Below are 15,070 nucleotides of genomic sequence, written 5' to 3'. Positions count from 1 at the left end.
CACACTGTTCTTTTTTTTTTTTTTTTTGAGACAGAGTCTTGCTCTGTCACCAGGCTGGAGTGCAGTGGTGTGATCTTGGCTCACTGCAACCTCCGCCTCCCGGTATCAAGCAATTTTCCTGCCTCAGCTTCCAGAATAGGTGGGACTACAGGCACCTGCCTCCACACCCAGCTAATTTTTGTATTTTTAGTAGAGATGGGGTTTCACCATGTTGGCCAGGATGGTCTCAATCTCTTTTTTTTTTTGAGATGGAGTCTCGCTCTGTCGCCCAGGCTGGAGTGCAGTAGCATGATCTTGGCTCACTGCAAGCTCCGCCTCCTGGGTTCACGCCATTCTTCTGCCTCAGCCTCCCGAGTAGCTGGAACTACAGGTGCCCACCACCACGCCCGGCTAATTTTTTATATTTTCAGTAGAGACGGGGGTTTCACCGTGTTAGCCAGGATGGTCTCAATCTCCAGACCTTGTGATTCGCCCGCCTCGGCCTCCCAAAGTGCTGGGATTACAGGCGTGAGCCACTGCACCCGGCTGGTCTCAATGTCTTGATCTTTTTTTTTTTTTTTTTTTTTTTTTGAGATGGAGTTTTGCTCTTGTTTCCCAGGCTGGAGTGCAGTGGCACAATCTCGGCTCACTGCAACCTCTGCCTCCCGGGCTCAAGTGATTCTCCTGCCTCAGCCTTCCGAGTAGCTGGGATTACAGGCATGCACCACCATACCCAGCTAATTTTGTATTTTTAGTAGAGATGGGGTTTCTCCATGTTGGTCAGGCTGGTTTTGAACTCCTGACCTCAGGTGATCCACCCACCTCGGCCTCCCAAAGTGCTGGGATTACAGGCGTGAGCCACTGTGCCCAGCCAATGTCTTGATCTTGTGATCCGCCCACCTCGGCCTCCCAAAGTGCTGGGATTACAGGCGTGAGCCACCACACTCGGCCACACTGCTCTTATGAAAAGCCAGAAGGAAGAAAAAGCCTATTTTTTCCCCTATTCTGGGAAAGAAGGCCTGGAAACTTCAGGGGATCCAGGGAAAGGATAGGCCAGGGAAGTTCCCCTCTTATCCACTCCTACACCTGTGGCAGCTGCCATCTCTAGTGGACTGGATTTTCATAGGCAAAAAACAGAAAACCTCAGGAACCACTCTGACAACAGCAGAGGCCGTTTACTGTGTAGCCTTAGCTAAGGAAGCTCTTTTCCTTACCACTGCCCTGCAAAGTGAGCATTATTTTCATTTTACAGGTGTTGAGACTGAGGTTCAGAGGCCAAGAAGCTTACACATGCTCACACAGCCAGGGAGTAGCAGAGCTGGGATTTGAATCCAGGAGTGTCTAATCCCAACGTCCAAGACTTTTCCATGAACCCATCCTGCTTCCCTTCCAAGTCTGCAAGGGAGGTCCGGATACAGGAGCTCTACAGGGCATTGATGGTAGCTTCTGCATTTACTTAATTTATGTAACTTTCACTGATCTAGTATAATACTAGGGACTGACTGTTTCTTGAGCTTTACAAATACAACCTCATTTAAGCTTCATTAACAGGTCTATGAGGTCTGTATCATTATCATCCTATTTTACAAATAAGGAAATTGGCTGGATGCAGTGGCTCACGCTTATAATCCCAGCACTTTGGGAGGCTGAGGCAGGCAGATTGCCTGAGTTGAGGAGTTCGAGACCACCCTGGGCAACATGGCAAAACCCATCTCTACTAAAAATACAAAAATTAGCTGGGTGTGGTGGTGCATGCCTGTAATCCCAGCTACTTGGGAGGCTGAGGCATGAGAATTGCTTGAACCCGGGAGGTGGAGGTTGCAGTGGGCCAAGATAGCAAGCACCACTGCACTCCAGCCTGGGAGACAGCAAGACTGTCTCAAAAAAAAGGAAACTGCAGCACAGAGAGGTAAAGTAACTTGCTCTAGGTCACACAGGAAGTAGTAGGGCTGGGAATTGGACCTCAGTAGTTTGGTTCCCAGTATATGTTTCCCACCTTCCTTGAAGTGCTATCCAGGAGGAGGAGGAGGAAGCATACAAGTGGATGCATCACAAAGAAATTAGAAAGCAGCAAAGTGAAAATCCAAAGTCCGTGGAAAAGAACCCACCTTTTGCCTGACTTGAGTGATAGGAGCCTGTGTTGGTGGGACTCAGGACTCACATGCCTGGTGGTGTCATCACTGGGCCTGTGGCTAGTGTTGCTCTTCTCAGGGGGACAGCAGGAATCTTGTCCAAGTAGGCTCCTTGACCCAACCACTTAGTGTGGCACGGGAAGAAGACTTCTTTCTTTTTTTCTTTTCTTTCTTTTTTCTGAGACAGAGTCTCACTCTGTCGCCCAGGATGGAGTGCAATGGTGCGATCTCGGCTAACTGCAACCTCTGCCTCCCAGGTTCAAGTAATTCTCTCACCTCTGCCTCCTGAGTAGCCGGGACTACAGGCACGCACCACCATGCCTGGCTAATTTTTGTATTTTTAGTAGAGATGGGGTTTCACCATGTTGGCAAGGCTGGTCTTGAACTCCTGACCTCAAGTGATCCGCCCACCTCGGCCTCCCAAAGTGCTGGGATTACAGACGTGAGCCACCGCGCCTGGCGGAAGACTTCTTTGTTTACAACCTCTCCCATCTATACTCCTTTCCCGCCGTGCCATTAAACCCTATCTGAGATAGAGGACCTTAAAAACCTGCCCCCACCAGATGATGATGGATTAATCCCCACCTCAGGACTGCTGTCCACCCTGCATTTCACCAGATGTGAGTCAAGCAAGAGCAGCCACACTAACCACTTCTCAACACTGTGCTGCATCTCCTCATCCTAACAGGGCTCCTCTAACCAGTGTTTTGGCCATTGCCTGCATCTGCAGCCATCTCCCAAATCTCCCAGATTCCTCCCTTTCTGGTGTTCAGCGCTAATGAAAGTCACAACGATTAAATGGAAATCGGAGTTTCTCAACCTAGAAAACATGCCATTTTTACAAAGGGAAATTTGGATGTCGTTGTGGTTTCCTTATTGGATTGTTTTGGAAGCAGTGTGGGGATAGGAGTGCTGGGAGCTAAATACACAGAAAAGCAAGAGCAAACTATTTTTTTTTTTTTTTTGAGACGGAGTCTCGCTCTGCCGCCCAGGCTGCAGTGCAGTGGCGCGATCTTGGCTCACTGCAAGCTCTGCCTCCCGGGTTCACGCCATTCTGCCTCAGCCTCCCGAGTAGCTGGGACTACAGGTGCCCACCGCCACGCCCGGCAAGAGTTTGCAAGAGCAAACTTTGAAAGAAACCAGCTGGGCGCAGTGGCTCACACCTGTAATCCCAGCACTTGTGGGAGGCCAAGGTGGGTGGATCACTTGAGTCCAGGAGTTTGAGACCAGCCTGGCCAACCTCGTCTCTACTAAGAATACAAAAATTAGTTGGGTGAGCGGCCGGGCGCGGTGGCTCATGCCTGTAATTCCAGCACTTTGGGAGGCTGAGGCGGGCGGATCATGAGGTCAGGAGATCAAGACCATCCTGGGTAATGTGGTGAAACCTCGTCTCTACTAAAAATACAAAAAAAAAAAAAAAAAAAAAATTGGGCGTGGTGATGCACGCCTGTAATCCCAGCTACTCGGGAGGCTGAGGCAGGAGAATCGCTTGAACTCAGGATGCGGAGGTTGCAGTGAGCCGAGATTGTGCCAATGCCCTCCAGCCTGGGCGACAGAGTGAGACCCTGTCTCAAAAAAAAAAAAAAAAAAAAAGAAAAGAAAAGAAAAGAAAATAAAGAAACCAGTCCTCCTGGCCCTCTCTCCTGGCTAAGTGAGGACACAGGGAGAAGGCAGCCATCTATAAGCCAGGAAGAGAGCCCCATTAGAACCTGACCATGCTGGCACCTTGATCTTGACTTGTGGCCTTCAGAACTAGCGAAGATATACAACAGCAAATCATCAGGAAGGCATTCCATTTGGTATCTAAGAGAAATGAAAATGTTTGTAATTTCCTAGAAGGGGGATTTTGATATTAGTCTTTTTTTGCGGAGTCTTGCTCTCGCCCAGGCTGGAATGCAGTGGCGCGATACTGGCTCACCGCAAGCTCCGCCTCCCGGGTTCTCGCCATTCTCCCGCCTCAGCCTCCCGAGTAGCTGGGACTACACGCACCCGCCACCACGCCCGGCTAATTTTTTTGTATTTTTAGTAGAGACGGGGTTTCACTGTGTTAAGCCAGGATGGTCTCAATCTCCTGACCTCGTCATCTGCCCACCTTGGCCTCCCAAAGTGCTGGGATTACAGGCGTGAGCCACCGGGCCCGGCTTTTTTTTTTATGCTGAAAAGATATATATATATATATTTAGAATTAGGCAACTGGACTCAGTTTAGATGATCCCAATTTTGTTGGCAACATCCAAAGCATCGTAATCAGGAGCCAGTCAAACATACACCTTCTTCTCTCCATCAGGCCGAATCAGGGTGTTGACCTTGACCACATCTTTGTCATAGAGCTTCTTCACAGCCTGTTTAATCTGGTGCTTGTTGGCTTTAACATCCACAATGAACACAAGTGTGTTATTGTCTTCTATCTTCTTCATGGCAGACTCAGTGGTCAGCAGAAACTTGATGATAGCATAGTGGTCAAGCTTGTTTCTCCTAGGAGCGCTCTTCCGAGGATATTTGGGCTGTCTCCGGAGTCGCGGTGTCTTGGGCCGCCGTAAGGTGGGTGACGTGCGGATCTTCTTTTTTTTGTGGCTGCGGACACCTTTCAACACTGCCTTCTTGGCCTTTAAAGACTTCGCTTTGGCTTCGGCTTTAGGAGGGACGGGAACTTCCTTCTTCGCTTTCCGCGCTATCTTGTGACAAGGCTTTTTTTTTTTTCTTAAGACAGGGTCTCCCTCTCTTCACCAGGCTGGAGTACAGTGGCACCATCTCGATTCCCTGAAACTTCTGCCTCCTGGGTTCAAGTGATCCTCCCACTTCAGTCTCCTGAGTAGCTGGGAGTACAGGCGAGCGCCACCATGCCTGGCTAATTTTATTTTATTTTTATATTTTTGGTAGAGACAGAGTTTCACCATGTTTCCCAGGCTGGACTTGAACTCTTGAGCTCAAGTGATCTGCCCATCTAAGCCTCCCAAAATGCTGAGATTACAGGCGTGAGCCATTATGCCTGGCCTCAATTTTTTTTTTTTTTTTTTTTTTTGAGAGGGAGTGTCGCTGTGTGTCGCCCAGGCTGGAGTGCAGTTGTGCGATCTGGGCTCACTGCAACCTCTGCCGCCTGGGTTATAGCGATTCTCCTGCCTCAGCCTCCCAAGTAGCTGTGATTATAGGAGCCGGCCACCTCACCCGGCTTTTTGTATTTTTAGTAGAGATGGGGTTTCACCCTGTTGACCGGGCTAGTCTCCAACTCCTGACCTCAGGTGATCCACCTGCCTCAGTCTCCCAAAGTGTTTGCTCACGCCTGTAATCCCAGGACTTTGGGAGGCTGAGGCAGGCTGATCGCCTGAGGTCGGGAGTTCAAGACCAGCCTGGCCAGCATGGTGAAACCACCCCGTCTGTACTAAAAATACAAAAATTAGCCGCGCATTGTGGCGGGTGCCTGTAATCCCAGCTACTTGGGAAGCTGAGGCAGGACACCTGTAATCCCAGCTACTCAGGAAGCTGAGGCAGGAGAATCACTTGAACCTGGGAGGTGGAGGTTGCAGTGAGCCGAGATTGTGCCACTGCACTCGAGCCTGGGCAACAGAACCAGACTCCGTCTCAAAAAAAACAAAACAAAACAAACAAAACAAAAAAAGTTCAGCAGGGGCTGGGGGCAGTGGTGCGCCTGTAATCCCAGCACTTTGGAAGGCTGAGACAGGTGGATCATCTGAGGTCAGGGTTCAAGATCAGCCTGGCCAAGATGGAGAAACCCTGTCTCTACTAAAACTACAAAATTAGCCGGGCATGGTGTCACATGCCTGTAATCCCAGACACTTGGGAGGCTGAGGCAGGAGAATCGCTTGAACCTGGGAGGCAGAGGTTGCAGTGAGCCAAGATCGTGCCATTGCACTCCAGCCTGGGCAACGAAAGCAAGACTCCGTCTCAAAAAAAAAAGAAAAAAAAAAAAAAGTTCAGTAGGCCAGGGGTGGTGGCTGATGCCTGTAATCCCAGCACTCTGGGAGGCTTGAGGCCTTTGGGAGGCTGAGGCGGGTGGATCACCTGAGGTCAGGAGTTCGAGACCAGCCTGGCCAACATGGTGAAACCCGGTCTCTACTAAAAATACAAAATTAAGGCCGGGCACGGTGGCTCATGCCTGTCATCTCAGCATGACTTTGGGAGACTGAGGCAAGTGAATTGCCTGAGCTCAGGAGTTCCACACCAGCCTGGGCAACATGGTGAAACCCAGTCTCTACTAATATACAAAAAATTAGCTGGGCGTGGCAGTGTGTGCCTGCAGTCCCAGCTAGTCGGGAGGCTGAGGCAGGAGAATTGCTTGAGCCCGGGAGGTGGAGGTTGCATTGAGCTGAGATCGCACCACTGTACTTCCAGCCTGGGCGACAGAGCGAGACTCTGTCTCTAAAAAAAAAATGAGGCCAGTCGTGGTGGCTCACGCCTGTAATCCCAGCACTTTGGGAGGCTGAGGCAGGCGGATCACCTGAGGTCAGGAGTTCGAGACCACCCTGGTCAACATAGTGAAACCCCATCTCTACCAAAAATACAAAAATTAGCCAGGTGTGGTGGTGCGCGCCTGTAATCCCAGCTACTCGGGAGACTGAGGCAGGAGAATCGTTTGAACCCCGGAGGTGGAGGTTGCAGTGAGCTGAGATTGCGCCATTGCACTCCAGCTTGGGCAACAAAAATGAAACTCCGTCTCAAAAAAAAAAAAAAAAAATTAGCCTGCCGTGGTGGCACATGCCTGTAGTCCCAGCTACTCAGGAGGCTGAGGCAGGAGAATCACTTGAAGTCAGGAGGCAGAGGTTGCAGAGAGCTGAGATCGTCCACCGCACTCCAGCGTGGGTGACAGAAGGAGACCCGTCTCCAAAAAAAAAAAAAAATTCAGTAAAAAAAGATAGATAGATGCATACATACAGGTTTGTGTGTGTGTGTTTGTGTGTGTGTGTGTGTGTGAGAGAGAGAGAGAGAGAGGAAGCATGCTAGAGTAAATGCTGGCAAAGAATCAGTTGGTGGATTTAGGACATAAAGTTTCATTAAGCGACTTTTCCATCCTTTTTTTTTGAGACAGATTCTTGCTCAGTCGCCCAGGCTGGAGTGCAAATGTGTGATCTCGGCTAACTGCAACCTCTGCCTCTGGGGTTCAAGCAATTCTCCTGTCTCAGACTCCTGAGTGGCTGGGATTACAGGCACCCACCATCATGCCCAGCTACTTTTTGTATTTTTGTAGAGATGAGGTTTCGCCATGTTGGCCAGGCTGGTCTTGAACTCCTGATCTCAGGTGATTCGCCAACCTCGGCCTCCCAAAGTGTTGGGATTACAGGCGTGAGCCACCGGGCCCGGACATCCATCTTTTCTACATACTTAATATTTTTCAAAATTAAAGATTGGGGGAAAATAAGGTGAATATTCAGAAATGCAATTCATTGTGCTTTCTAGAGAACTGATAGCAAATAAATAGGGAATCATCTTCCCCTATCCTCAAAATAATACATAACACACATCATACTGTATGGGGAGCGGATGTCACAACCTTGAAGGCCCTCCCATGGAAACCACAGAACCATCAGGGCCCAGGCCTGAGACTTTCCTGGCCTAACTCAAATTGCAGACAGCTCGCTCCAGCACAAGAGACTCTCCACAGTGTGACGGAACTCTTCCTTGTATTGATATGGAACATGGCCCCTATTATTCAGGCACGGCCCCTATTATCCAGGCACATGAAGCAGCTTCCTATCCCTTTGTATCTGCCCACCTGAAATGACACCTCCTCCATGGAGCCTGGTTTGAATTATTGGGTCTTTGTTGTTTGTCAGTTTGGCTTGGGGCTCTTGAGCCTAGGACTATGTTGTCATCTCCTCTTTTCTGCCCTGTACACTGGGCAAGTTATCTTGCCTAGAGCAGGCAGCTGGAAGGGGTTTAAAAAAATATGATTGAGGCCGGCAGGGCGCAGTGGTTTAGGCCTGTAATCCCAGCACTTTGGGAGGCCGAGGAGGGTGGGTCACCTGAGGTCAGGAGTTCGAGACCAGCCTGGCCAACATGGTGGAAACTCCGTCTCCACTAAAAACACAAAAATTAGCTAGGTGTAGTGGCGCACGACTGTAATCCCAGGTACTCAGGAGGCTGAGGCAGGAGAATCGCTTGAACCCAGGAGGCAGAGGTTGCAGTGAGCCAAGATCGCGCCACTACACTCCAGCCTGGGCGACAAAGCGAGACTCTGTCTCAAAAAACAACAACAACAACAATAACAACAACGAAAAATAAGACAAAAAAGGTATCCGCCCTTTCCCTTCACTCACAAATAAAGTAGTGAAACAAATAATTAAATACTGAGACAGAATAAAATTAAATAATGGGGAAAACAGAATTAATGAAGTAAAATTAATGAAGTAAAACCATAAACCAAATAAAATATTGAAGTGAAATAAGTGAAATAAAATAAAATGAAATAAATAAAAATAAAAGAAATAAAATAAGTCACATGAAACGGAGTTAATGAAGCAAGCTCCGCGGTGGCAGAAGGAGACGTGCGGGTACCTGCCGGCCGGGCTTCGGCGTTTCCGCGGCGCTCTGGGCCCCGGATGTGGGCCACAGCTGAGGGTCAGCTGGAGGGCGGGTGGGGCTCCTCGCCGAAGTGCCCCTGGGCTTGACAGCGTTCCCCGCCCTTCTGGGGCCTGCTGCGCCGACCGTGCCGCCGGTAGGTGGTGCTCTGGGTCCCGAGCCTCGCGCTGCGCCCGCGATTAAGTCCGCCCGGCGCCGCCGCGCCGGCCGCTGGGTCAGTCCGCGCATTTGCGCTCCGGGCGCCTGTGCTCAAGAGAGGGACCCCGGTGGCCCCTCAACTCTGGGTTGTGTCTTCTTCCGTAAAACGTGCATGAAATACCCTTACCCCTTCGGCCCCGCCACCTGCGGTCGCTTGGATGCCACTGAAGACGAACCACGTAATGGGTAGTTTGGAGCCCCTAGTGTCACGCCAAACACAGCGTGTTCGCCACAGGACATAAATGTGACGCTGTAGTGGGGCATGGCTCAGCCAACGCCGTGCCCTTCCTCGCTGGAACAGAGGTTGTTCCAGATACAACTCTCTTTGTCAAGTGTCTCAAGTATGGAGTAAAAAATGTTCACCTGCCCGGCTCCCCAGGGGAAAGGCTATCCATTCAGAAAGTAGCTATTTGTGGCTTTAACCGGGATGAAATAAATGACGGCAGAGGACGTTTGAAGGCGGCCCCGGCCCGAGGACAGAAGTCCCCGGCCAGCCGTGCTGGGGTGGGGGAGGGCCGAGGGTGGGGACGGGGATCTGGGGCCGCTCACATGCAAATGCGCCGGGACAATCCGGCCGGGCGCCTCTGCGCCTCCGGGAGGCCGAGGCAGGAACAAAGCATTAGCATTTTCTACATGTGAAAGGCCTGCATTCCTGGGCGGGGAGGCCCCCGGGGCGCCGCCCCCCTCTTCCCATTCACACTCGGGACCACACAGAGCGCCTCTCGCGCCAAAAGCTCCGAGGTTCGTTTCAGCTTTTCTTTTCATCCGAGCGATGCATACGAAATGTAGATATTTCCCTAAACGCCGGCTTTGACATTTAATGCGATCCTAAGTAGTCTGAAATGTGGACGGGATTAGGAGGAGGCTGGGGGCCCACAGGGACACTTGGCCAAATCCCCCTAAATCCTCCAGGACAATTGTTTGTCACCACACGGATTCCTATTGCCCCAAATGAGGGGGCTAATGAACTTCGCTGCCTCCTCCCGTCGCAGCCCCACTCCCACCCTGGAGCCTGCATTTCTGCCCAGTCCTTTCTAGGAAGAAAGGGAAGATGAATTTTTAAATTGCAAGTTTTCTGCATGGGTTTGGTTACTTTAGTCCAGGCCAAGTTGACTTGGAGGATTGACTTTGACCAGTAACTAACCCACCCGTCCCGGGCTACTATTTAACTCTCACTCCATAAAGGCGCAGAGGTCAAGGATGCTGAGGCCCTGTGAATCTTGGGCTTATGTTAATAGGCCTTCACCACCTTGAAAGAAGTAGGCCCTGGGTGTCGTTGCCAGGCCTAGAAAGGACATGTCACCAAAAATTCTGTTTAGCAGGCTTTATTGTTCACCTAGAACAATCCACACACTGTATAATGCACAGCCTGTCTTCAAAGGTACTTACAATCCAGTAGGGGAAAGAAAATGGTCAACAAAGAACACGTCATGAAAGACATGCGCTTGCAGATTTGCCTAGTTACTATGGGGCTGAAACAAAAAAGCTTCTGGGACCAGAGCATGCCCTCAGTAAGCATGTGTGAAATGAAGAGTGGGGGCATAAGAGGAAATCCCTTGGAGGAGGATAGGGCTATGGAGAGGCAGTGTGGGATGCCCAGGATGTTGACACATTAAAACTGGAAGGGAGAAAATTTTAGGCAGCAGAAGAGACTGAAGCAAAGCTCTGAGGGTAGGAAATGGTGACTCCTTTTAGGGGATGGCAGAGAATCCAGTGGTGGAACAAATGGGGCATAAGGGAGGGATTAATAGTAGCTAAACTGGGTGTGGTGGCTCATGCCTGTAATTCCAGCACTTTGGGAGGTGGGAGGATCACTTGAGGCCACGAGTTTGAGACCAGCCTGGGCAACATAGTGAGACATTGTCTCTGCTTTAAAAAAAGAAAAAGGCTAAGTAGGAAGGGCAGAAAGAGACCTTCAGGTATCCCTGAAGCAACCCCTAGGCAGGAGCCAGAGCTGTGCTATAGGAAGTTACAGGCTGTGGTGAGGAAGAAAGGGTGGGAGAAGGAATCTGAGGCAAGGAGACCGGGTACCTCTTGTCATCACAAGATGAGGTCCTGGGCAAGGCAGGAAAGAATAGGATGAGAACACAGGATGCCACTAGGTGTTGAGCAAATCAAAAGTGAAGGAGGACTGGGTGCAGTGGTTTGCACTTGTAGTCCCAGCTACTAGGGAAACTGAGGTGGGAAGATCATTTGAACCCAGGAGTCTGAGGCCAGCCTGGACAACATAGTGAGACTCCGTCTCAGAAAAAAAGTGAAGGAGGTGGTAATTTATCTCAAGGAGTCCCCCTCCATTCCCCACTGTCCAGCCTCAGTGCTGTTATATAATCTTTGCTTTGATATCACTTTTACATGATACAGTGAAAATTATGGTGTTCCCTTTCAAACATTTGGGAGTTCAAGGCACATTCAGCAATGGTACAATGGCCGCACCCTTAAACATCATTCTAATCCTATGAATTAGTATCCCCATTTTACAGATGAAGAAACTCAGGCACAAAGAAGCAAAGCAACTTGTTTCATATCAAAATTGTTCCAGAGAGAGAACCAAGATTTGAAGCCAGTCGGGCTAGAGGGTCCATGATGTCATCAGTCACTTTTCTCCAGGTGGCTTCCAAGAACAGGGAGGAATGAGAGAGACTCAGAGGTAGCACTGAGATGAAGGAAGTACAGAGGGAGACTGGGCTGAGCAGGCCCTTTCGGTAACAAGAGGGATAAGTGAACTCACCTGTATTAAGTGTCCACCAGGCACACTTTGCATGCATCATCTCATTTTAATCCTCACACTAGGCCCTGAAGAAAAGCATTTTACAAACTGGTCAAAAAACCTCAAGAGAGATGAAGTCATTTGCTCAAAGTCACTTAGATTGAGTAAGGGCAGAGCTGTCAGAAAACTAGTCAGAAAGGGACTATGAGAGGTGACACTCTGATATGAAAGAGGAGGCGGAGGGTGCATAGTTTCCACATGCAGGCAGATGGCAGTGCATTGGGCAAGGCCATGCAAGGTTGCTGGCCTGTGTTCCAGTCAAGGGCATGGCTTTAACAGAGCTCTGCAGGAGGCTGTTAAGGGCCGGAGGGCACAAGGGAAGACTACTACAGCTGTTCTGAGGGTTCATGCCATGTGGTTTGGGAGACACTTGCAACAACATCCTCCTGGGTCCATGAAGAAATTCATGAGGTCGATTTTGTCCCGTATTGTAGATGATGCAGCTGAATGAGTGGTAGAGCTTCAATAGACCTAATGGCTCTCAGAATTCAAAACCCCAGCAAAGGCCAGGCACGGTGGCTGATGCCTGTAATCCCAGCACTTTGGGGGGCTGAGGCAGGTGGATAGCTTGAGCTCAGGAGTTTGAGATCAGCCTGGGCAACATAGCGAAAACCCGCTTCTACAAAAAATACAAAACTGGGCATGGTGGCTCTTGCCTGTAGTCCCAGCTACTCGGGAGACTGAGGTGGGAGGACCACTTGAGCCCAGGAGGTCCAGGTTGCACTGAGCCTTGATAGAGCCACTGCAACATTTGCCTGGGCAACAAAGCAAGACCATAGAACAACAACAACAACAAAACCCAAAAACCTAAAAACGTAAACCCCAGCAAATAAGTTGCCATATTTTGAGACTGATGCCTATGGTTCTCATATCTGCTAAATTCCAGAAAACCATATACCATAGAAGAAACTGTATTTACCAGGGAAGATACAAAGGGGGAAGAAACTGGGAACAACCAGGAAAAACTTTAGTAAGTGACATTTAAATCCTTTTTTTTTTTTTTTTTTAGACAAGAGTCTTGCCCTGTCACCCAGGCTGGAGTGTAGTGGCACGATCCTGGCTCACTGGAACCTCCATCTACCAGGTTCAAGTGCTTCTCCTGCCTCAGCCTCCCGAGTAGCTGGGATTACAGGCACCCGCCACCACGCCCAGTTAATTTTTATATTTTAGTAGAGACGGGGATTTCGCCATATTAGCCAGGTTGGTCTCGAACTCCTGACTTCAAATGATCCACCCGCCTTGGCCTCCCAGAGTGCTGGGATGACAGGCGTAAACCACCAAACATGGCCAAAAGCCTTTTTGTATAGATAGGGTTGTTACTAGAAAGGGGTCCCGATCTAGACTCCAAGAGAATTCAGAAAGACTTCAGCGTAAGTCTGTAAAGTGAAAGCAAGTTTATTAAGAAAGTAAAGGAATAAAGAATGGCTACTACACAGGCAGAACAGCCCTGAGAGCTGCTGGTTGCCCATTTTTATGGTTATTTCTTGATGATGTGCTAAACAATGGGTGGATTATTCATGTTTCCCCTTTTTAGACCATATAGAGTAACTTCCCAATGTTGCCATGGCATTTGTAAACTGTTATGGCGCTGGTGGGAGTGTAGCAGTGAGGATGTCACTCTCATCACCATCTTGGTTTTGGTGGGTCTTAGCTGGCTTCTTTACTGCAACCTGTTTTATCAGCAAGGTCTTTATGACCTGTATCTTGTGCTGCCCTATCTCATCCTGTGACTTAGAATGCCTTAAGCCTTAACCACATGGGAATGCAGCCCAGTAGCTTTCAGCCTTATTTTACCCAGCTCCCATTTAAGATGGAGTTGCTCTGGTTCAAACCCCTCTGACAGAGTTACCTCAGTTAGCAGAGGTGGCTTTAACAAAATGGGGCAGGAAAAATAGGTGGGAAGAAGCCTTCCTGGCTATGGGAACCAGTATGAGTCCAGACACAGAGGTGAAGAACTTATATTTAATTTGCTGGGCTCTGCTGACAGTAGGCAGTGGAAGGAAAAGCTGAGCTGCTGGAACATTAATCTGAAAAACACTGAATTGGCCTCCCTTAGGATGTGCAGGGCTATGCCAGCAACTGCAGCAGGCATGGTTATGACATCTTTGCCAGGCTTCCCTGCAGCTTAGGATGGCTCCATGACATGATGTGACAAAAGAGATGTTAAGCTCAAGGCTGCTGAGGTTTCTAAGAAAGTTTTGTTCCAGATAGTCTCCCATCAAGATTAGCTAGTTTTTGCCCTGTTTTTCTTGCCTTCAATGTTGATGTGATACTGGAATATCTTGTGACTATGGAAACAAATGCCCAAATGCTGAGGACAGTGGCATGGAAAAACAGAGCTGAGTCCTGGATGGCATCACGGGACACTAGAACCCAGGCCAGCAGCTGCCTTCATATCCCCTTCTCAAGTGAGAGAAAAATAATCTTTAAGTCACAGACCTATTTTTTGCTACTTGCAGCCAAATATAGTCTTATTTAATATAGGACCTGCCCTACCCTTACTAGGTATTGCCTGCTTTCCCATAAACAAACCAGCATGCAGAGAAAGTTCTAATTTCTTGATTTCTCTAAAGATGTGTTTTTTTGAAGTACAATTATAGGGCTTTTCCCCTTCATACTACCATGACTATGTGAGTTCCTAGCGATTTATGAAGTCTGTGGACTCACTCTCCAGAAAATTCCCAGGCAAAGCAATTCTGCTCATTTGAGTGGGTCTCACAGTACTGCTGTCGGTCTGGAGTATGGGAAAGCAGAGACGGCAGACTTAAACCAACAGCAGTGCAGATTACGGGTCCTATGGTCCTACTTAGAAGGGGCTTCAAGAGGTCCAAGGAAGCTAGGCTATCTCTGCTTTCTGTGTCCACCTGTAAAAATCTACTCTGTGTACAAAACAACTACAATGTGGCACTCGATCAATGGAGCCCCTACATCCATCCATCCATGTTTAAAAAGAGGAGGATATTCTCCCCTTCTTTGAGTCTGTTGGCAATGCCTATCTCAGTCACAAATATTCAGTTCTAGTATATATCATTACCTGAGTTCCGCTTCCTGTCAGCAACAGAATAATTCAGATAGGCTGGGCTCGATGGCTCACGCCTGTAATCCCAGCATGTTGGGAGGCTGAGGCGGGCGGATCACCTGAGGTCCGGAGTTCGAGACCAGCCTGACTAACGTGGAGAAACCCCCATCTCTACTAAAAATACAAAATTAGCCAGACATGGTGGCGCATGCCTGTAATCCCAGCTACTCTGGAGGCTGAGGCAGGAGAATCACTTGAATCTGGGAGGCGGAGGTTGCGATGAGCCGAGATCGTGCCATTGTACTTCAGCCTGGGCAACAAGAGCAAAACTCCGTCTCAAAAAAAAAAAAACGGCCAGGTGCAGTGGCTCACACCTGTAATCCTAGCACTTTGGGAGGCTGAGGCGGGTGGATCACAAGGTCAGGAGTTCCAGACCAGCCT

General features: G+C 49.3%; 1 pseudogene, besides 8 other annotated features; it reads right to left on the bottom strand.

The window, feature by feature from the left end:
• Nucleotides 3,235–3,411: a silencer, noted in NCBI's record as "fragment chr3:32828513-32828689 (GRCh37/hg19 assembly coordinates)". NCBI's record gives its function as "represses an EF-1alpha promoter that drives an FKBP-Casp9 reporter gene in an ReSE screen in K562 erythroleukemia cells {active_cell/tissue: K562}" and the evidence as "EXISTENCE:reporter gene assay evidence [ECO:0000049][PMID:32094911]".
• On the bottom strand, nucleotides 4,261–4,798 carry RPL23AP43 (ribosomal protein L23a pseudogene 43; annotated as a pseudogene).
• Nucleotides 8,416–9,135: an enhancer, noted in NCBI's record as "NANOG-H3K27ac-H3K4me1 hESC enhancer chr3:32822789-32823508 (GRCh37/hg19 assembly coordinates)". NCBI's record gives its function as "activates a minimal SCP1, AML or CMV promoter by ChIP-STARR-seq in naive H9 embryonic stem cells {active_cell/tissue: H9 hESC(naive)}" and the evidence as "EXISTENCE:reporter gene assay evidence [ECO:0000049][PMID:30033119]".
• Nucleotides 8,416–9,151: a biological region, named in NCBI's record as "NANOG-H3K27ac-H3K4me1 hESC enhancer GRCh37_chr3:32822789-32823508".
• Nucleotides 8,572–8,651: an enhancer, noted in NCBI's record as "active region_19639". NCBI's record gives its function as "activates an Ori minimal core promoter by ATAC-STARR-seq in GM12878 lymphoblastoid cells {active_cell/tissue: GM12878}" and the evidence as "EXISTENCE:reporter gene assay evidence [ECO:0000049][PMID:35858748]".
• Nucleotides 8,752–8,831: a silencer, noted in NCBI's record as "silent region_14178". NCBI's record gives its function as "represses an Ori minimal core promoter by ATAC-STARR-seq in GM12878 lymphoblastoid cells {active_cell/tissue: GM12878}" and the evidence as "EXISTENCE:reporter gene assay evidence [ECO:0000049][PMID:35858748]".
• Nucleotides 9,072–9,151: an enhancer, noted in NCBI's record as "active region_19638". NCBI's record gives its function as "activates an Ori minimal core promoter by ATAC-STARR-seq in GM12878 lymphoblastoid cells {active_cell/tissue: GM12878}" and the evidence as "EXISTENCE:reporter gene assay evidence [ECO:0000049][PMID:35858748]".
• Nucleotides 9,136–9,857: an enhancer, noted in NCBI's record as "OCT4-NANOG-H3K27ac-H3K4me1 hESC enhancer chr3:32822067-32822788 (GRCh37/hg19 assembly coordinates)". NCBI's record gives its function as "activates a minimal SCP1, AML or CMV promoter by ChIP-STARR-seq in naive and primed H9 embryonic stem cells {active_cell/tissue: H9 hESC(naive and primed)}" and the evidence as "EXISTENCE:reporter gene assay evidence [ECO:0000049][PMID:30033119]".
• Nucleotides 9,858–10,578: an enhancer, noted in NCBI's record as "OCT4-NANOG-H3K27ac hESC enhancer chr3:32821346-32822066 (GRCh37/hg19 assembly coordinates)". NCBI's record gives its function as "activates a minimal SCP1, AML or CMV promoter by ChIP-STARR-seq in naive and primed H9 embryonic stem cells {active_cell/tissue: H9 hESC(naive and primed)}" and the evidence as "EXISTENCE:reporter gene assay evidence [ECO:0000049][PMID:30033119]".

Source organism: Homo sapiens, chromosome 3, assembly GCF_000001405.40.
Source record: "Homo sapiens chromosome 3, GRCh38.p14 Primary Assembly".
Taxonomy (NCBI): Eukaryota; Metazoa; Chordata; class Mammalia; order Primates; family Hominidae; genus Homo; species Homo sapiens.
Note: the sequence above shows the minus strand (reverse complement) of the source record. Positions and strands in the feature narration are given on the sequence as shown.